Here is a 22,179-nt window from a genome sequence, read left to right as displayed (position 1 = left end):
AGGGTGTCCTGTGCATTGTAGGTTGTTCAGCAGCATCCCTGGCTTCTACCTACTAGATGCCAGTAGCACATTCCCCAAGTTGTGACAACCAGCTATGTCTCCCCACCTTGCCATAGACATCCCCTTGAGGCGAAATTGCAGTGAAGATCTCTGCTGTGAATCCACCTCTGCTTTTTACCTAAGTTCTCAAAAATGAAATGTAAATATGCTTTATCAACCCCATCACCAGCAACAGGACAAGGCCAAGCCTTCTTTTTAAAAGCAGAGTTGAATGGAAGGCAGTAATAGCCCAGGGGCTAAGGATACTGATCCTGGGATCAGATTGCCCTGTTTACAGTCCTGGTTGTGCTGCTGACTAGGAGTAAACTTAAAGTTGCCTAGCTTCTCTGTACCTCAGTTTCCTCTTTTGGAAAATAGGGGTAAAAATCACAATAATGATCCTACCTAATTCAGTTTTTATAAAGATCAAATAATATATATATATACTAATATATATATTTATATATATACTAATATATATTTTTTATATATACTAATATATATATTTTAATATATACTAATATATATATTTTTATATATACTAATATATATTTTTATATATCTACTAATATATATATTTTTATATATATATATATATATATAAGGTATTTACCTACCTAATAGTAAATATTTTTCAAATTCTAGTTGTTGCTATTATTACAGGGTATGTGGGTAGGCTGATACTGAAGGGCCAGGAATGGAAGGAGAGGTTTCTGTGAGAAAACTCAAGATGATCAGGCAAGAGATGCAACTAAACCCCCAAACGGAGCACACATCTATACCCCAAGTACCAGGAAAGAGCATTAAGATCACTAAGTTGTCAGGGATGGTGAGGGGGGCAGAGGAGAACAGAGGTGGGTTTCAAGGTCAGGTTCAATGCCAGAGAAGTGGAAGTGAGTGGTGTCAAATCCCCATGAGTGTGGGGTGCTGGTCCTTAGCATCGGTCATAGCATTTCTCAATCCAGGCTTCTTACAAGAATCACTTGTGGTGCTTTCTTTCAATGCTGATATCCAGACTCCAACCAGCTGAAGTATCTCTTTTCTAAGCTCCCCAGCCAGGGTTAAGAACCACTGCTCTAGGTAAGCGCTTCTTAAACTTAAATAGGCAAACAAAGAACCCCTCTGAGGATCTTGTTAAAATCTGATTTAGTACGTCTGAGATGGGGCCCGTGAGTCCACATTTCTAACAAGCTCCCAGGTCATACCAACGCCGCTAGTCCACGGATCACACTTTGAATAGCAGGGACTTAGAACAACTATTCTCAAATTCTGGTTCCCCAAACCAGCAGGCCACCAGCATCAGCTTCACTTGGGAACTTGTTAGAAACACAAACTCTTAGGTTTCACCCAGAACTACTGGATCAGAAACTCTGGGGGTGGAGTTTAGCGATCTGAACTGATTGTGTCTCGGCAAGAGCTACAGGTGATTCTGATGCCGGCTCAAGTTTAGAAACCACAGAGCATCAGCCTGTACCTGTGGCTTATTTTTGTGGCCCAGGTGAAGTTCATAGGTAGGACTGGTGCAGCCAAAAGGCTGAGGGTCTGAGTCGAGAGTAGAGGCCCTGCAATAAGGCCACCACCTCCCCCACACACTACAGCCCTCTCCATTTCTCCACTGACATGACTTCTGTCTCGGGCTCTGCGGAGACTTTGGCCTCTCTGGTTCCTTCTTGCTCCTCCCTCCTTTCCCAGTTCTTCATTCACAGGCTCCATGTCCTGCCATCCTCCTAGCAATTGGCATCACCTCTACCGAGAAGCTCCTACTGTGGGGTCACTCCTGGCCCCATCGCCATTGGCCCACTCTGGACTTCTGGTTCCTTGAGGACACCCAATCATATTGATACAGTCTTTGCCCCTGGTGGGCCTCCTTTGTGTTCCCATCATGCCTTGCAGCTAAGGTCCTACTGATATCAGTTGCCCTCTGGGGTGAGTAACATGTTGAGCATCTCCTACAGTGCTTTCCTTGTGTGTGATAGGAATTCAATAAATGTTGAACAAATGAAAGGGAGGGTAACCCTGGAAAAGCAATTGACCACCCTCTCCCACCTGCTTTACGTGTAGCAAGGAAAAGAGGAGCTAAAGGAAGCCCCTTCTCCTCACCCTTCGATCCTCAGGGGCCTTGTAGAAGGAATCAGGAGAATAGACTCTGAGTTAAAGGAAAAATGCTTTTCCCTTAAAGAGTTCTCGTTACTGAAAAAAGAAGGGTGAAGAAACCGCATGTGGGAGGGGTCTGAGCTTATTAAATTTGCTTCCAATTTTCTTACCACAGTAATTGGATTCTGATTTATAGGATGCGTTTGGACAGTGCCTGAAACAGAGAACTATTAGCTGAGCATTAGAGCAAGTGCTGCCAGGAGGGCGGGTGTTGGGGTGAGCAGCTCAGGAATCTGAAGATGCCGCATGATGTGGGAGGCAGCAGGTGGGGGAGGAGGGGGAGGAGGGGGAGGAGGGGGAGGGAGGAGGAAGGCTGTAGAAGTTTCACCCAGCAGGCAGCTGTGCTGATTGAATCCCCAGATGCACCGGCGGTGTGGACCCCTTACAAGCAAGCCATGCAGGGCACCATGTGATAAAAGAAGCCCAGAGAGGCCTGGGGGCTTAATTTCCGTATCTGGAATGGAAGCGAGTAGCCATTTTTCTTTTGGTTCTTCGCCTGTGAAGTCCACGGTATTTTACGAGAGACAGTCCAGTCTATGTGGAGTGTGAGATGGCAGAGGGCAGGAGTAGAAGAAGCTAAGACAGGGGCAGGCTTTGAGCCTTTCTTAGGATTTCCAGGGTCCTTGGCAGTGGGCACTGAGTGATGCTACATCCAGTATGGCTCAAAAGGTAAGTTCTACAGCTTCGCAGGCATGCCCTACTCATTCATGCTTGGGCTTAGCAACCTTCCCATGCCCACCTCACCCCTTACATGCATTTGATGTGATCTTCACTGTTGAGATGGAAACCTCTGTCGTCAGCCTGTAGACATGCATGTCTCTGCTGCAACCTTGTCCTTTCATCCCTAGTCTCAGGCTAGGTGACAAGGCAAGAACAAGGTACCCCTGAGTGGCTTTCAGCACATCCCTGCTCTTCTCAGCCTCGTTTGTCAGCTGTGAAATAAAGGTGTTAGACTGGCTAACCTCGAAGCTTCATCATTCCTCAAGTCTCCACACAATTATAGATGAATGCATTCTTCCATTTATGGTCTCTTCATTCCAGATATATACTCATACACTGGCCCCCACTCACCTCAATCGAACAAAACATGGAGCTTGCCTGGGGACATCCTAGCTCCAACTTCCCCTCATGAGGTCAACAATTCTGCTCACACAGAGGAGAGACTTCATTTCCAGGTCACTGCTTAAGTCCTGTGAGATCACAAAGATGAATAAAATGGGGCTACATGTACTGGGGGTGGGAGGTAGGTGATGTGTTTTAAATAACGAATTCACTGTAAGGAAGAGACAACTTCCAGCTGGGGTGAGTCTGAGATGATTGTCCAGAGGAGTTCTGCTGTTCATATGTTAGGTTGGTGCAAAAGTAATTGCGTTTTTTGCCATTACCTTTAGTGGAAAAAACCACAATTACATTTTAATACAATAGAGAACTATTAGCCACAATTACATTTCAATACATAAAGCATTGACCGGTTCAACAAGTAGTCCTCATTTTCGAGTCATCCCACTTCCATCCCATCACCCCATTCTGGTGACAACAGCTGGATTTGCCATTATCCAAGTGGTACATAAAACATCTGGCAGACAAGCAGCCACAAATAGAGACACACCCCTCCAGGAGGGAGGGAATATTTTGATAAAGCATATGTATGTTCTTGCTAGCAGCGCCTATTATGGGGTTGCTTTGATTTCAGGGAGCAGATTCAGGGTGGACTGAGCTCGTGAGCCATGGGCTGGAAACTCTAGCCGGGGAAGCCTCATTGGGTCACCTCTGCCTGGCCTGGCTGGGTCTGTGTGTTTTCTTCCACATATTCTCCCAGCCTTTGTCCAGTGCGGTGCTAAATGGCTCAGACAGTGGGGCGCCCATCACTTGCCTGTAGGGAAAATTCTACACTTTGATACATCCCACCAGGAAGACATTTTTCCTTGGCTCCTTTTCCTCCTGGGAAATGAAGGGGCAGTGGCCCAGCCTCTCGTAGCATTTCTCCCTCCTTCTATTTACTCGGTTGGAATGGCTGCCAAAGATCATCATCATTTCTCTCCTTGTACTCGTCACTTAGCAGTAATAGGATAAAAATCTTTACAGCTGGAATGGCAAAGCATAAAAAATGTTCATATTCCCTCAGAGTCAAGGCTATTCCACTAGCTCAGCACAGCGTTAGTGATTCCACACCAAGGCTGAGGGGAGGGGAGGGGGAGCCCATCACAGATACTTAGCTTTTGCAAACAAGCTCTCCCCGTCTGTGACATTCTGGTCCCCCATGTGCCACTTTTCAATACAGGATGTGAGCCTGTTGATAGTGGGCCTAAGTGCCTTCACTCCAGAGCATCTGAGTTTGATCTCTGAGTTCACTCCAGAGCATCTCCTCCTCTGGGGGAGGAAGGGAAGAGCAGGAAGAGTTGCAGGACATCCTGGAAGTGGCTCTGTAGCAGAACTGTGTCCACAGCCCGGGGCAGTTTGCAGTACCATCTTGCCAGGGTAAGAGGGGAGGAACGGCCACAGGGGCTCCTGCCCTGTCTGTTTTCTGTGTAGTTATTTTTGTCTTGGCCACGTAGCAAAGCACAGGAGTTAGCAAGGGCCTCTGGGTCAGGATTCCTCCCCAGTCTTGATCTCCTGATTTCCTTGAATCCTGAGCCTGCAGGCCCCTCCTGTGTTCTTTGAGTGCCTGTTTTTTTGAGTTTCAGGGAGATTTCCCGAAGGGGTAACTCCTCAGACTTCAAAAGGGGACCAGTCAACAACACTGATGAGAATTCATCTAAACTGCCTTAGCTAATTTATTTTCTTGCACCTTGTTTCCTAGTGAATTCCTGCTAACGTTGACCTTGCATTGTACATTTCATTCATTCATTCATTCATTCACTCACTCATTTGCTCATTCCTTTACTCCACACATTTATTGAGCAATTGCCATATGCCAAGTCCTGTGTTAGGAACTAGTCTCCACTCATGGCCTAGTGGGCCCTAGGAGCTCATGGCCTAGTGGGAGAAATGGACATGAGACCAATTCCTGATGCTCAAATGTGGATTGCGCTAAGGCCATACCCTTGCTCTTGGAATTAATACACGAATTTCCTGCCCTCAGTGTTCAGGCACCCAGCTCCTGCCCTGTCCCTGGTTTGGGTGTAGTTATTTCCATCTTAGCCATGCAGCACAGCACAGGAGTTAGGAGCTGTCCTGTGAAAAAGACAAAATAGCATTAGGCTGGCCTGTGAAGGAGAAGGAATTTACACGTGGCTGGGAGGCAGAGGCTTCTTGAAGGAGATGGCGTGGGCTGCAGTTAGTGTGCTGGCGAGTGGGGCACGTAGGATTTTACCAGGTAGTAGGCATTTCAAGTTGAGGGAAGAGCATAAGGAAATATCAGGAGATAGAAGAGCCAGTGTTTTATAGGAGTAAGCCCAATTTACTTAGGGTGTAGAATGATGGAGGGGAGGAATGGAGGAGAATACTCTGGAAGATAACTTGGGGACATGTTGTGGCAAAGTCTTGAATTCAGGATAAGGAGATTAGAGTTTATTCAGTAAACCCTGGAATGCTTCCATGTTCACACTGTCACTGCCTCATTGTCACAGCAACACTGGGACATGCCCTAAATAACACATTCCTGGCCAGCACCATGGCCAGTAGGAAGAAAGCCAAAGTGTGACAGAGAAAAGAGTACCAGGCAGGAGTGGTGCCCCTGCCCCAAGGCTGGACAACTGTCCCAAACAAAGTGCAGGCTGAACAGGCTGCTGGCCCGGGAGCTAGAGCCTGATATGAGAACTTGGCCTGAAAGCATTTTCATCCTCAGGGTGGGGACATTGGATCTTCCACTGGGGAGTTCGTTCTGAAGTGAGGCAGGAACAGTGAGAAGCAGGAGCTAGTCTTAGGGGAGAAGGAGCTGATAGGGCCTGGAAAAGGACTCTGTCCTTCATCCCCAGACTCACTGCTGGGTTTCCAGACTGAGCACCAGTGTGGGCTGCACAGACTTGAGCAGAACAGCAAGACTAGCAGATTAACTCCACACCTAGGTCAGGGGACCCGGGCTCAGAGAGGTTAGGGGACTTGTCCAGGGTCACACAGCTAGTCCATGCTTGGCTGAAATGCAAAATCAATTTTTCAGATTGTGGGTCCATATATTTTATTTTATTCTGTCACAAACATAAAACTTCTTATTATGTCTAAAGTTCACTGAGTTAGAGAAAGTGTGTGTGTGTGTGCATACGTGTGTGTGTGTGTGTGTGTGTGTGTGTGTTTGACTTGTGATTTGGGGAAAGAGAAGAGGTGATAGATGAGGATTCTGGGTTTCCTAATTAAGATGGTTTGATTATTATATTTTAGCTTTGCCCAGAGGTACTAAAATACTACATTTCAGCCATATAATTCAATAAATAGTGTCATCTGGTGTTCTGCCATCTGGGCCAAATGCCTGTGGGCAGGTAACCCAAGAAGAACCTTGTGTGGCTTCGAAAGGTACCAAGTGGTCTTTGTTCTGGGGACAGATTTCCCTTCTCCCTCCCTAAGTTTGCCTCCTACATTTCACATTACCTGGGGAATGAGGCAGGGGAAAGAGATGTGGAAAGAGATGTAGAGACATTTTCAATGCCCAGGATGGAAAACTGATTTGGATTAAATATTTGCCAGGAATAATTCATTCAACAAATTATTGAGTCTAAGACTATTAAGTATAGATCAGTAAAAACAACAACAACAACAAAAAAAACAGACTGAAAGTGTGCCCTCATGGAACTTGAATGCCCCCAGTGAATAAATCCCTCAGGTGGACAAGTGGGAGCTACCTTACTACCCTCCCCAGGCCCCTAGTACCTCCCCACCTTACAGATCACTTTCCACAGGAGGCATGGTCCCTTAAGCTAGCCTTGAAAATAAGCCCTGGCCCGTGAACTCAGGGTTTCAGTAACACCAAGGGCAGTGTGGTATCAGTTCTCTCGCCTCTGAATTATCTGTCTTTAAAGGACAGAGGAAGAGGGGTGAAGAAGATTCCCTGGATTTGCACTCTGCATTCCGGGGGTGCTCTCCTCAGTGTTATGGGGAACACAGGAGGGGTGGAGAAGACAATACTGTTGAGTTTGGCTGCAGCTTTTGTCTATTTCATGAGCTTTCCATGTCCCAGTTCAGTGGCTTTTGAAATCTTCTTGCACAACCAAAATCTGCCGCAACACCAGAAACTCTCTTCATCTTTTCTCAAGGAAATCTTTTATTGAAATATAAGATACATATGGAAAAGTACACACCTCCTGCAGGTATATCTTGAAGAATTTTTCCAAAGAGAACACACCTATGTTCCTGCATCAAGTACCTACATCAAGTTAAAGAATATTCTGTGTTTGCCAGAAGCCACCCTTATGCCCGTGCCCCATCAGAATTCTCCGTGGCTACCTTGTCTTCAAAAGCTGTAGATTGATGTTGCTTGGTTTTGAACTTTATATAAATGGGATTACACAGTATGTACTCATGTGTATCTGGCTTCCCTCAAAGTTCTGTGCATGAAACTCAGCCACATTTTGCAAGACACAGTTTGTTTATTCTCATTGCTGTGTAGTATTCCTTTATAAGAATATATTACAATTTCTATATCTACTCGACTATCAGTGCTCATTTGGGGTTTTTCCAGCTTGGCTTTTATGACGAGAGCTGCTATGATTAAGCTTCTACTTGTCTTTTGGTGAACAGGCATATGTGTTTCTGTAGGGTGTACCCCTAGAAGCTTCTGTAGATATCATCAAATATTTAATGAAGTACTTACAGCAGAGTCCCTGTTGCACCAAGTCCTCATTATCAATCACTTGCTATTGTCTGTCTGTTTCATTTTTGCCTACCAGGAGGCTGAGTGGTGGTGTCTTATTGTGGTTTAAATTTGCCTCTCCCTGCTGCAATGAAGTGGCACACATTTTCCTAAGTTTCTTGACCGTTTGCATACCCGAGCAAGCGTTTTGCCCCTTCTCTCTGCATCTGTCTATGCCTTTTGCCCAAGAACCAGGCACAGAGGGCCTGGCTGTCAGTTCCCCCCTCAGTAACCTGCCTTTCTTCTGGATATTTTTTGCCATTTTGTCCAACATTGTGAGGCAGCATGATAAAGTAAGGGGAAGAAATAACTGGCCTGAGCCTGCGAAAGTGCATGCCCTTTCTAAGATACTGCCCAACAATGCCTTCAGCTCCCTGGGTGTCTGTTTCCTCCCACGTAACATGAGAGAAGTAAGCCAGAGATGCTTATTAAGGTCAGTTCCAGCTCTGTCTGCTGGTTTGAAAATACTTCTGCCGGTAAAAGCATGCGGAAACTGGCTTAGGTACTAAGTAAGTTGGACGCTATTTCCAGAAACATGAAGCCCTCCTGCTCGGCAGTGGTGCCCCTCCCCCTGCCCTGGATTACTCTTTCCCCTCGCAGACTTCCCTTCCTAACAGGACTCCAGGGCCCTGCAGAGCATCAGAGCCCTTTTTATTGCCACCTTGTCCATTTCTTCATGCAGGCCTTCTCCACCCTCTCATGCCCTCCACGCAGTGCAGGTCACCAGACCTCTCCTAGCCTGAGGTGCACATGTAGGCTGATTTGACATGTCTTCTCACTTATCTGAAAGCCCCGGACCTATTAAACACAGCAGCAGCAGAGATGCTTGCTCCTGGAGTTGGCACATCACGTAGAAGGCAGTTTGACTGCAAACATTGGTGACCTGCCCACATTTTTCAGTCTAGAATAAGGAGCTGAAACACACAGATGTCTTCCCTTTAAAACCTGGATCACTGTCAAGTTCCATTACCATTTGCCCCCAAGTGCTTCAAAGAACCACTGGCTCTTATGATATAACACATGTGCCTCTACTGCCAGGAAGAAATAGGGCTGGTAGGATTGGCTTGAGGAAATTTCAAGGAGGCTCTGTGCTGGGACGAAGGTCCTGGGATAATTCCTACAGGAGAGGATGAACCATGCAGTAAGCCCTTAGAGTAAGACTCTTCATGCCTTGTATTTCTTTAGCCCAGGCTGGAGTGAAGTGGCCTAATCTCGAACCACGGTGCCCCCAGGTTCAAGCGGTTCTCCTGCCTCAGCCTCCTGAGTAGCTTGGATTTTAGATGCCTGTCACCAAGCCCAGCTAATCTTAGTAGAGACGGGGTTTTGCCATGTTGGCCAGGCTGGTCTTGAACTCCTGACCTCAGGTGATCCACCTGCCTTGGCCTCCCAAAGTGCTGGGATTACAGGCGTGAGCCACCGCGCTCGGCCCATGCCTTGTATTTCTATAGGACTTCACGAAGTGCTTTCCCAGCTCTTTCTCATGTCCTCAGTAGCCCTTTGGGTGAAGAGGTCATTGCCATTTCACAGAGAAGGAAGCTGAGACCCAGGCAACGTAACTGGTTGACTGAGTGGCTGGGCTAGGTCTCCTAGCCCTGTGAGCTTTGACATACAACATCTCTGTCACTTACTAGCTGGACCATGGGTGAGTTACTCAAACTCCCAGAGACCCCATTTCTTCATCTGTAAAATGGGAATAATAATGGTCCTCAGGGTGAGGTGAAATAATTGATGTCAAATGCCGAGCCTCATCTTTAACCTCTAGTAAGCACTTGGTGACTGTTTGCTAGCTGTGGCCCTGAGTAGTCAAGTTAGTACTGGCATCAGGAGGGCAGCTGGGGCCTGCTGCAGTCACCCAGGCAAGAGGGGGCATCAGGACCAGCAACAGTTCTGGTTTCATCATCTTTCCTGCTGCTCCGCAGCTGTGGGCCAAAGCAGGTCTGGAAGGCAGGGCAGACAGGTAACAGGGCCAGGGGTGGAGAAACGGGTGACATGGATGAATGTAGAGAGGTCCAGGCTCTGCACCCTGCTCTCCAGCTCTGAGTCAGGGTGCTGCGGCTCATGTGAGTCACAGTGGAGCTGAGAACAAGGTGGGCTGGGTGCAGGGCATGTGAGCAGGGAAGTCCTTAGAGAGCTCTGGGCCTCGGCCTTGGCTCCTGGCTCTGAACATTCCATTTGCCTGAATGTCAGACTTACTTTAAAAACTGGAAAGCAAAATGAGCGAGGAGGCGACTGCAGTGCCACATCTGGTGAAATTTGTGCTTGAAAGATACTGGGGATGGAAGCCAAGGCCAGCAGAGGGAGTGATTTAGAGCCGGGGGCCAGCAACTACAAAATGTGTTTGACAAGAGATGAAAAGAGCGGGAGAGGAGATGACAGCTGGGTGGGGGCTGCTGTGGGAGGGAGACCTCTGAGCCGAGGGTGGCAGACACAGGATGGAGTGCTGAGGGCCACGTGAGGCCCCAGGTGACTGGCAAAGTAAGCAGGCACAATGGGATGTGATGGAAGCAGGAATCCGCTGGGGACTCTGTGGATCACTGAGCAGTGAGGGTCCCACTGGCCTAGTGAGGGGCAAGATCAGTAAATGTCCTTGAGCTTATCTTTGCTGTCCCTGAGGCAACAAGAGGAATCCCTGATCTCCATGGAAACTTTATTGTATTATCCAAACTGCTCTCCCCTCCTGACTCTCATGATAACCGTGGCCTGGCCAGAGCTGGCGTGGTGGTTGAGTCTCTTCTGCTTCCCTGCTCCTCCCTGTCTCTCCTCCTTGATTCCTCATAAGGTGGCATCATGTACTCCTTGTCCCACACCTTCCTGCCCTGCCTCTCAAGGTAGCAAACACCCTCTTTGCTCCCGTCTGCTTCATCTCAGGCCGGGTGCCACCACCCTTCAGACTTTCACCCAAGCCCTGATCTGTGGCATCATCCTGCTCTCCCCCCACTCCCATTTTGTTGTCTCCTCTGAGATATCTCTTGCTCCCTGAGATATCTTGCTGCCAAACTCAGCCGCTGCCCCCTCTCGTCTGGGTGACTGCGGCAGGCCCTAGCTGCCCTCCTCATTGACTCTGGCTTTCTAAATGCAGAAGGATCACTCCTCACCTGAAACTCTTCACATGCTGTGGGCACACAGCTCCTGTCACCACCCCAACCCTGAAGTCAAGGCCGCCCCCATCAGGCCATGGCCTGTGCCGACTGTGCTGTGAGGATTCAGGCCTCATCATTGCTGCTTTCTCTATTCAGGATGCCCTTTTGTGTTTTGGGAGTCTGGGTGGAGGGTGTCTTCTTCAGGAAGACCGCTTGCCCCTCAGACAATTTGGCAGCCCCTCCATCCTCTATGCTTACCCTGAGCAGCACCCCTTGCTGTGCATTGCAGACATCAGCTTACTGTCTATCACCCTTCCAAGCCCCTGAGCAGCTAGCACAGGAATGCTGACTTATCTTTGCATCTCCTGAGCCTAGCACGGTGCCTGGCACTCACACTGTCCATCAGTATCAGCTGAGTGAATAGGGGCCCAAAGCGCACCTCGTGATTCCTTCTCAAGCTACTGAAAATATCAGGGATTGGGAGTGCAGGTGCCGGTGAGCGAGTGAATCCTCAGAACAGAGGGAGAAAATCAAATCACAGGAAATTTAAAACCATCCTCGCTCAACAGAGAATTATCCACGTTCACGCATAAATCCAGCGCCACAATTGGCAAACACGTATTGATCATACCATCCCCCTGATGTGTGGGAGGCACCATATATATGTTCTCTCGGTTCAGCCTCACAACTTTGCTATGACCCTTGTTTTAGAGATGAAGAAATTGACTCCGGTAGCTTGAATAACTTGTCCACAGGAATTTAAAGAAGTAGAAACGTGGCCCCTGCCTGCAAGAAGGCAGTAGTTACCTAGGAAGATGGCACAGTGATTTAGAAAGGGGAATAGTCATACCAGGCGGCCATGTGGAGTGTGGTGGAGGAAGTGATTTCAGCGAAACTGCACAACAGTGACAGTTTGGGCAGCTGGAGGAGGGAAGGTAACAGAATCTAGGGAGGTTTGTGGAGGTTGTGACACAGGTACAGTCAAGGGCAGTGACTGGGCTGGTTTAGCAGGGCCAGAAGGCTCCTGCAAGGGAATGTGGGGGCAGGGTGCTGAAGAGCTAACACGAGGGTGGAGGCCTTGAGATGCTGGTGAAGGTTTAACTGCAGGTGGCTCTGAAGGTCGGGAGAGGGTCCTACAGTGAGAGCAGTGTGTTAGGAAGATGGAAGAGAGAACGGCTGTGGAGAGGGTGGGAGGAGTGGTTGGAAGTGACTCTTCTGCAGGCGGGAAGAATAGTTAGGAAGCTGTTGCAGGAGGGCAAACCAGGGGTGTAGATCAGGCTTGGTGATATAAAAAAGAGGCAGATTTGAGTGCAGTATTGGCTCAGGGGTGGATTGACTGTACGAAGGTGCAGGAAGGTATGGGAAGCCTTTGCTTTTTCCCTCCCTGCTTCAGACCAGAATGGCGCACGGATGTGAGTCCCCTGGGGAAGAGGCATAGGACCCTTGACCCTCAAACAGACCATTCCTGAGCTCAGGGTGCTGAGTCTAGCACATTCCTGGAGTTCCTTGGCTGCAGGCCTTACTTTTGCTCCTTATAGCTGTTGCAATTGGAGGAACTTTCCCCTTTCAGGTGAAAGGAGGGAATGATGCTTCTCTGATCCTTTAGGTGGAAAGTCTGAAAAATATCATGAAATAGCTCTAGGAGTATCAAGGGGAGATACTATGCTTTAGCAAGTGAGGGATGACCCACACCCATGATTTTCCATCTTTCCAGAATCTTCCAGCATGCAGCGTTCAAGATAAAAGACAGAGAGAAGGGCTGGGTATGGTGGCTCACGCCTGTAACCCCAGCACTTTGGGAGGACCTGGTGGGCGGATCACCTGAGGTCAGGAGTTCGAGACCAGCCTGGCCAACATGGTGAAACCCTGTCTCTACTAAAAATACAAAAAATTGGCTGGGCATACTGGCGCATGCCTGTAGTCCCAACTACTCTGGAGGCTGAGGCATGAGAATTGCTTGAACGCCGGAGGCAGAGGTTGCAGTGAGCCAAGATGGTGCCACTACACTCCAGCCTGGGTGACAGAGTGAGACCCTGTCTCAAAAAAAAAAAAAAAGACAGAAAAGCCAATATGGAATAAAGGTTTCAGAGGCAGTGAGTGTGGATAATCTTCAAAGGGCATTCTCGTGGAGCTCGTGAGGGCACCGACTGGTAGGGGGGAACCAGACCATCTGGGTTTATGTTGAGGCCCCACCACTCACTCATTGTGACTTTCCCTCTCCACCACCATGAGAAGAGGAATTGCAGCACCCACCTCGGGGAGTTACTGTGCAGGCTGAAAGCTCTGGGAAGAATACCTGAGACAGAGTGAGGATTCAATTGTGTCATCTATTATTACTGTTGTATGATGTGATTTGAGCAGGGCTAAAATAAGACATGAAGGAGCTCTGGTCCCAGACACCAAGGTATCTTTTTTAGGAAACATTTCAAAAATAAGTCTTGGCCCAACTCCACACTTTCTGTCCCAGCTAGGCTCTGCATTTGCCTTTTGAGAAGATTCTTTTTTGCACACACACACACACACACATACACACACGCACACGCACATGCACACACAGCTGCCGTCTGGGTGGTGCTTGGTACCGGCTAACACAGGTCCTGCCAGTGTCCCTAGAGAAACCTCTTTGCAGCCTCCATAGATCTGCTGATCTTCCTGAAGAGCAGAAGCTGCCACTTCCCCCAGGGTTTCCACCAAACCTCAGTGTTCCACTCACTTGGAAGGGGCTAGGCAATGTAAAAGATCAAGATTAGTTGTTTAGAAAAACAGAAGGATCCTGGTGCATTGGAGTAATGGCCATTTCTAGGAGGTCTTTAAATGCAGCCAGAGGAGTCTACGTTCTTTAAGTCATGTGGTCCTTCTGAGCCCAGATTGCACGAGTCAGTACAGGCAGCAGAACTGCCTGAGGAGGTAGATTGGGGCCAGAGATTGAAAAACCCTGTCAACTTGCTATCCTGAGCAGCACTGAGAGCTGAGATGGATCTGCTGGTTCCAGAACAAAGAGTGGGAGATGTCTGGCCTTCTGTGTTCAGTAATTATGTTTTTTGCTGAGAGTAGTCAAAGGCTTGTCATAATTCAGTGGAACAAACCCTTGAACAGTTCTTTCAGATGCCAGTTGGTAAATGAATGCAGGTATGATCCATGGAATTGGGGAAGAGAGGAGACAGGAGGGAGATTTTCTAAATTTTACAATTTCAAGCTAAATTTTACAATTTAAAGAGTTGTTAATTATTCTGAGATTGTGGCCTTTTCTGGTGTTTAAATACTCTTTCTTTTTGAAATGATGATGATGGTAAATGATGGGATTTTAAAAATACATACTTTCTCACAAAGTAAAATGTCACGAACTTAATTACTGTCTCTATAATGTTTTTATTTTATTTTACTCATACCAGAAAACCAAGACCTAGAAACCATTATCCAGCAGTAACATTGAAATTTTAATTTGTATTATATACCAATTAAAGTTCAGGGACAACTTAGGACAATGATTTCCAATAGAAATAGATGTGAGCTGCATATTATTTAAAATTTTCCAGTAGTCACATTAAAAAAGGTAAAAGAAGTGAAATTAATTTTAGTAATAGATTTGATTTACTCCAATGTATCCAGATACTAACATTTTGACATGTGATCAATTTTAAAAAAGATAAGTAAAATAGTTCACCTTTGTTTCATACTAAGTGCTTGACATCTTGGGCATATTTTACATTTACAGCATATCTCCATTCAGAGCAGACACATTTACAGTGCTCAGTAACTGCATGTGGCTCATGGCTGCCCTACTGCATAATGCATGTCTAGGAGAAGAGGGTGTCTGGGCCTCAGTCTGTCGAAGGCTTCAGTCTTTCCCCTCTTGCTTCATCATCGACATTTTTCATCATTCTTGGAACTTTGGTAAACAAGAACATCCCAGCCTTTTAAACACAGTTGAGTATTTCCAGCATAACAGACAAAACTTAAGACCTCTCCACGGACACCAGATGCCACCTGATATTCCCCAGGACACCCTTAGCCCAAGGCTTCTTATCGCCAGCCCCCTCCCCAACTCATGGCTCCATACTTCAGCTTCCAGATTCTTCTTCAGTTTGGGCAATTTCTTTGGTCTCTCTTTGCTGTATCACTGACCTTGGCCTTTGCTCAGCTTTTACTGCTCTGGAGCTCCCTGTGAGGGTGTCACCCATAGCTTGGCAAAGGACATTTTCCTCTCCAGCTTTGACCCCAAGTAAGCCTCACCTGCCTCCCACCTTCACTTATCCCTCCACTCATTCTTCAGACATTTATCGTATGTCTAGTATGTTTAGTCATCATCCTGGGTATTGAGGTTACAACTACAAATAAGTCCTTGCCTTCACTGCAGCAACAGTCGGTAGAGGAGACAGAAAAGTAATTTCACAGTGCTTGGTAATAAATTACAGCAATGGGGTGAACACAGGGTCCTAAAGAGGCACGTTGGAAAAGCCTTGGGAGACTGAAATGCTTCCCAGGGGAAGTAACTTCCAAGCCAAGATTAGAAGAGGAAAAAATAGCCTGGCGTTGGAAGCGAGGAGAGTGCATTTCAGATATATGGGAGAGAGACAGCACTTGCAAAGTTCCAGAGGGGACAAAGAGCAGGTGAAGCAGAATGTGGCTAGAACTTTGAGAGTGCAGAGGGCAGGAGTCAGAAGTGGTGCCAGGCCACTAAGGATGGTGAGCCATGATTAAGAGTCTCAGTTTGATTTTGTGAGCAGTTGAGCAGCATTGAAAGAGGTTAAAGACGCAGTTCTGGAAAGATCATTCTAGCTGCAGCATGCAGGGTAGATTGAAAAGGGATACAGCCAGAGAGGAAGTTGCTGCAGTAATCTAGAAAAGACAGAATGGAAGTGGAGAGAAACAGCCAGATGGAGAGATAAAGAAGACAAATGCACAAGACTACATTTAATCACATTGGGTCTGGGGCAGAAAGAGGCAGGATTAGAGAATATCTCTTGGTTTTGGCACATAGTGCATAGTGAGCTGGGGAACTCAGGAGGGTCAGCAGGCTTGGCTGAGGTGTGGGAAGCAGAGGGTGGATGACAAGGTCATCTCATGGGGTCATTCAAGAGAAGATGCTCATCAGGGTTAGTGTTAGAGGTTAAAGGAGGTAGGCACTGGGAACTCTTTGAAAGCTGCCCACCAGAGCACCCGACCAAGTTCCTAAGCAGTTCACTTCTCTATTCTGACCCACTTATTCCCTTTCTAGACCACTGGAATTAATAATATGTTCAGCACTTCAAAGGTGGTGATATAATGGAATAGCGAATCTCACTGTTATGTTAAGGGTCTTTTCTGAGACACAGGATTTCTGTAACCAAAGTGAGGGTGGCTATTGAGGCAAGAATAAGAGCAGTATATGTTTATGTGAATGAACGAATTAATCTGCATGTGAAATCCCAGCAAAATTGACATGAAGCAAAAATTTCATTCCTTACAGTGTATCAGTGTTGCCCATGAAATGAGATTAAAAGGAATTTTTGATTTTATAGTTGTCATACTTTTCATACTGCTTGCATTTTTCTCTTCTAAAGGGTTCAGTTTGAACCAAGGGGCCAGCCACAGATTCGGCATTTTATATTTTTCCTCATAGCTGAGAGCAGGCTTCCTTACATAGATCTGAGCTGTGGAGGTGTTAGATGTTCTCAGATCTAAAAATGAAATCTGTGATTCTAAAAGCCAGTAGCAAGATCACTGCCCTGAGTGCTGAGATAACTGACGTTCTGGAAAGGTCATTGGCCAAGAGCTTTTCTCCGCTCATTCTTTCTTCCTCACACACATTGGCTCTGAGTTGGGGCTGGTGGTGAGGAAAGGAAGGGATGAGGCATTGTCTACAAAGCCATCTGTGCTAGCACTGGTGATGGAGTGATGGAGGGATGTGGAGGAGGGAAAGATGTGCCTACGCCACCTGCACCTGGGATCCATAGATTGTCACCTCCATGGGGACAGAGAGCTCTCTCCCAGGAAGTTGGTCCCATTCCCACTTTATGTTTTATGTTTGTGTTTCTCTTTGCCTTTCTGGCCCTGGAAATTAGGGAAAATGGAACATGATGAAAATGACCCATTCATTTTCTCTTTGTGGCTCTGGCCTCTGCAATGTGTGCTGGAAGTGCAGGACTTGGAAGGAAATCCTAATTTCTATTTAGGTCAACATAGCTTTTTGTTTAGTAATAGATGTGCATGAATCACCTCACCCAGGGCCTTGCTGAGGTCACATCTTCGCCCACCTGATCAGACTCCAGTGGAAGCCCCTGTTTAGGATGTACCCGTGGCAGCCCACCAGCGGTTTCCCATCTTCCTGTTACCACCCAGGAGCAGCAGCCAGTCCCTCCCTCCTGGACAGGTCGCTGTACCTGCTGGTTTCCAGAGCTCAGTAGAAACCGCCTCTTCGGGTGGTCATTCAAGAGTGGGCATGTGAGTATACACAGTGTACAAGGCCACAGAATAGACCTGAGTCACAATTGGAACAGTCCTGGTTCAGAGGTATTACAACATGTGACGAGGACGCTGGAGTCCAGCAGGCCTGGTTCAAATTCCCTTTGCTAGTTGGAGTGAGTTCCTCAGCCTTTCTGTGCCTCAGTTTCCTCATTAGTGAATCTGTAAACCAGTAGCAGCCTCATAGGATTACTGTGAGCAGTAAATATGTGAGGTGCTCTGCGTGGTGCCTGCTGAGAAAGGTTCAATGAGCAGTAGTTTAACAGCTTTCCAGGAGGTGGATACCGTCATCACTGTAAACCGGGAGCTCCAAGCAGCGAAGGTTCAGTCCCAGTGTGTCCCACGCCACGCCAGGCCTGTTTGATTTCCATTTCATTGTGCTGTGTAGTTGCCTGACCTTTTCCCATTCTCTAACTGTCTTCAGACTCCCGTCTGGGATGCCAGAGCCCACCTTTAAGATTCGGAGCCATTGTCAATTCCAGAGAAGCCAGAGCGGCTTCTCTTTGACACTGACATTTCAGTAATAATAATTACGCTCTCCTCTCCACTTCAGAGTTAGTGGGTATGCCTCTCCATCACTCCCTCCTGGTTTCATGCTGGAGAATAAAATCCTGAATGTTTCTAATTTATGACCAAGTCTTTTCTCCCATGAAGGCAGCATGCCGCAGGAGGAAGATCATGTATCTGGGTGTCCGAGGGCCTGGGTCCTGGCCCCGGCAGACAAGCCACGGAAGCACTGGGAGCCCTGACTGCTCATTGATGAAATGGGGGTGACAGTGATCATCATCACGCTCTCCGTTATAGGCTGCTGCCAGGATGTAATGAGCTCGTGGGGTAAAATAAAAGGCATCGCACGCATCATGACATGACTGCCATGACTGACAGCAACCATCACTGAGCATGTTTCTGACATGCCAAGTTGTCACATATTCAGGTGCAGGGTGGGGGGTGTTGTGGGGGTGAGCAGGAGGCAGTGACTGTGCAGAGGAAAGAGGGGCCACTCCTCCCCAGACCCTGGGGTTAGCATCTCAGAGCACTTTCCTGGAAGCATTTTCGGACAGTAAGTGGCACTGAATGCTCCAGAGCCTGGCAGTGCAGGAAGCCCTTGGAGCCCCAGTTCAAGTTGGGGAAAATTGAGAGTCTTCACTGAGTCATTCATTAAAAATGGAAGAGAAAGAAACAGCATGTCAGCGATCAGCTTAGAAAAGCATGCCTTCCTCATGAGCTGCTGTGGCCATCACGTATAGAGATCCCGGGATTCTGTTTCCCCAGGAGGTGAGGCTGAGACCAGAGTCTCCTCCTGGCTCATGGAGACTCTTCGGTGTCCCCCACACCCCGCCCCCAATCTTTCCCGCTCACTGGCTCTTCTTCCAGTAAAACACTGCATCTTTAATAAATTATCAACGTACTTGCTCGTCTGTCTGCTGGCGCCAGAGCTCAGTGTTGGCAGGGTTTTCCATTCCCTCGTGCCCCTAATAGATCTCACTGTTTGATTGATCTTTTAGATCTCTCCCACAGAAACCCTACTGTCTGGGCCGACTCTCCTCACCATGTCCAGCTTTCTGGATTTTTTTCTCAGACTCTCAACCTTGTTGCTGCCTATCCCCATGCTCATCCCTTGGTCCTTGGACCACAGATGACTCGTGTGTAGGGCTCCAAGGCAGGTGCCTTGAACCCCGGTGAGTTCACAGGGAGACTGTAGGGACGAGCACCAGATTAGGAGTCACAGGATGTGGATTTCCCTCACCCCAGTTACTCAGCAGGTGTGCCACCTTGAGCGAGATTCTGAGCCTTAGTTCAGCTCATCTGTGGAGTGGGGGCGGTTGTGAGGGTCACCTGAGACAAGGGGTGAGTCCAGGCTCCTGAGCTGTGAGCAGGGGCAGGAGGAGAGTCCTGTGAAGCTTTTTGAGCCTGTGAGGTGGGGGATGGCACCCCACTACCTGCCCTCCCTGGGCCTGTGCTGGAGGAGCTCATAGGGTACAGCCCTGTTCTTTACTCTGCAGGGACAGAGGCTGGGGGTCTCAGAGACCAGGAGGACAATGGCTCAGTAAGCCATTACTGACACACACCTGGTGTGTCAGTAAGGTGGGCCCAGTTTAGGAGGTTTAACTGCGTCGTCTCCATGGTCCTTTCCTTTTCTAAACCATGAGCTTGTGATTCTAGTCGATGAGCTGAACCTGGCGTGCGGGCCGGCTCACCCACTCTCTGGGCGTGATGATAGCAATTCTAGCTTCCATTTCCTCAGCACCCTTTAAACACCACGTGCTTACGTGCATCATCTGCAGTCTTCACAACAAAAATGTGTATTTATCCTCATTTTACAGGGAACAGTCTTGAAGCTCAGAGAGGGTAAATGATGTGTCCAAGGGCACACAGCTGGTTCTCGACATGTCCAGACTCAAATGCAGGCATCAGAGCCCAGGTTCTTTTCACTCACATTGACGCTGCATCCTTTGATCTCTGCTCCTCCTCTTGCCTCTCAATGCCCCTTACCTGCTTGTGGGACAGGACAGAACCCCCCAGCAAAGATGCCTTTCCAGCCCCTGTGAGATCTGGTTCCACCCAGCAGGCAGAGTCGTCTGCAGATTTGGGCCGATGCTAAAAATAATAATAGTTACTATTTGTCAAGCATCTAACGTGGCACTATGTAATCACCTAACATAGTAATAGTCTAAGGGAGAAAATCTTCCAGAATTGTTATCTCCATTTTCCAGATGAAGAAACTGAGGCTTGGGAAAGTAATGTCGGATGCCCATTGACAACTGAGCCTCAGTTACAAAATGGCATTTGTGACATTCCTAACCATGCGTATTGAATGTTAGCTATGGTCAGAGCTTCTGAAAGCTGATGCTGTGAGAGCATTTAGCAGGAGAGCCTTGGGCCCATTCCGTGTTACAGAGGAGCAGATGGAAAGCTGGAGAGGTGGGTGATTGGCTCACGTACCCACAGCTGGTCAGTGGTATCCTGATCCCCCAAGCCAGGATTCTGGGAACTGCCTCACGTGGTCTGTAGGTCTAGTTCTGTGCCCATGACTGGAATTCTGTGCCCCATTTCTGTCTGTCCCTCCCTACTTTACCCCCATGAGATCCAGCAGCTCCTCCTCCACGAAGCCATCTTTGCCACTCCAGGCAGAGTTATGCCTCTGCGTAACTGCGTGTGTGCATGCATCTGTGTCACTGTGGTCAATATACCTGCCTCCTCAGCTAGTCCTCCAAGGCAGGACAAATGGCCCCTGTCCCCAAAAGCTCTCAAAGGAGATAACTCTCAGTACCACCTCCCTCCCCAACTTGCCCCTGAGTAACTTGTACCACAAAAGCTGGGGTGTGTGGTCCCCCTGCCTCCCAGCATGTGGAATAGGAAGCATCCCCAAGGCAGTGCCTTCGTCCTAACCCCATGAGGGATTTCAGAGCATCTTTCCCCATAGCAGGGACCACAGCAGCCAGGAGCAGCTTCAGGCCTGGCCATTGGACACACCCGGTCCTGGTGGTGGCAGGCTGCTGAGTCACTCTGCTTGGGCTCTTTTTCCTCTGCTGTCTCTTATGGAGAGACCAGGAGGCTCTGCTGAGCTCTGTGACTTGTTGCCTCCTGTTAGAGAGACAGATGCTGGCCCTCCTCCCTGACATCCACTTGTTCCTCTTGGGGCTGACCATGCTGGCTCCTTCCCCTCTGCCTGGGCCTCTCCAAGCCCCTCCATGCTCTCACAGACCTGCCACCTGCCAGCTAACACTCCCTCCAGGTCTCCCTCAACCCTGGTTCCACCTCAACTACCTACGAGCAATGCCCTCCCTCTCCTCTGCTCCTAAGTGAGTCAGGTCTGTGTCCAAAGATAAGCAAGGCCAAGGTCTCTTCTCACTGGGAGCTGTTTCAAGGCATTCTCCTTCCCTTTTTCTACTGCTTATCTAATGTACAACAAATCACTCCTGATTAAACTTTGTGGTGTAAAACAACAAGAATCATCGATTATCTTCACAGTGTCTGTGGGTCAGGAATTCAGAGCATCTTGGCTGGGTGGTTCTGGCTTGGAGTCTCATTGAACTGCAGTTGGAAGTCTGTTGTAGCCACTGTCATCTGAAGGCTTGACTGGAGCTTCAGACCCACTTCCAAGGTGACTCATTCATGTGGCTGGCAAGTTGGTGCCAGCCTTCAGCAGGTGGCCACAGTTCCTCTCCACCTGGACATCTCTCCGTAGACAGGGCTGCTCGAGTGTCCCCACAGCATGGCAGCTGGCTTCCCTCCAAGTGGCCAAGGCAGAGCCTGCAATGTTTTTGTGATTTAACCTTGGGAGACACACACCGTCACTTCTACCATATTCTATGGGTCATATGAGCTGCCCTGCTTCAGTGAGGGAGGGGCTACACAAGGACATAAAACCCAGTTAGTGAAGATCAGTGGCAGCCATCGGCGGCTGGCTGTCACACCTTAGAAAGCTAGAAGAGGCTGTCTTCAGCTGACCTAGGAACGCACTTCCTGACTTACTTTCTCCCTTTCTCTATCAATGGACAACTGGTATACTTAAACCCTGTTCTAGTGATGTAAAGATGGACAAGGGCATGGGCCTTCCCTGGAGGAACTCACAGTCAAGTTGAGGAGAGTCTCATCACGAGAACTGCGAGAAAAGAGTTATGTACAGAATGATGGCAACACAAAGGACAGGTCCTTACCTATTTGGGGGAGTATGGA

At 48.1% G+C, this 22,179-nt stretch overlaps 1 protein-coding gene across 13 annotated transcripts in view; it reads left to right on the top strand.

Annotated features, from left to right (window-relative positions):
* The window catches only part of GALNT14 (polypeptide N-acetylgalactosaminyltransferase 14), a 251,659-nt gene that overhangs the window by 148,238 nt on the left and 81,242 nt on the right, over nucleotides 1-22,179 (top strand). The gene's annotated exons all lie outside the window — the stretch shown is intronic.

Source organism: Homo sapiens, chromosome 2 (genome assembly GCF_000001405.40).
Source record: "Homo sapiens chromosome 2, GRCh38.p14 Primary Assembly".
NCBI lineage: Eukaryota > Metazoa > Chordata > Mammalia > Primates > Hominidae > Homo > Homo sapiens.
This window is presented reverse-complemented; position numbering and strand designations above follow the sequence as displayed.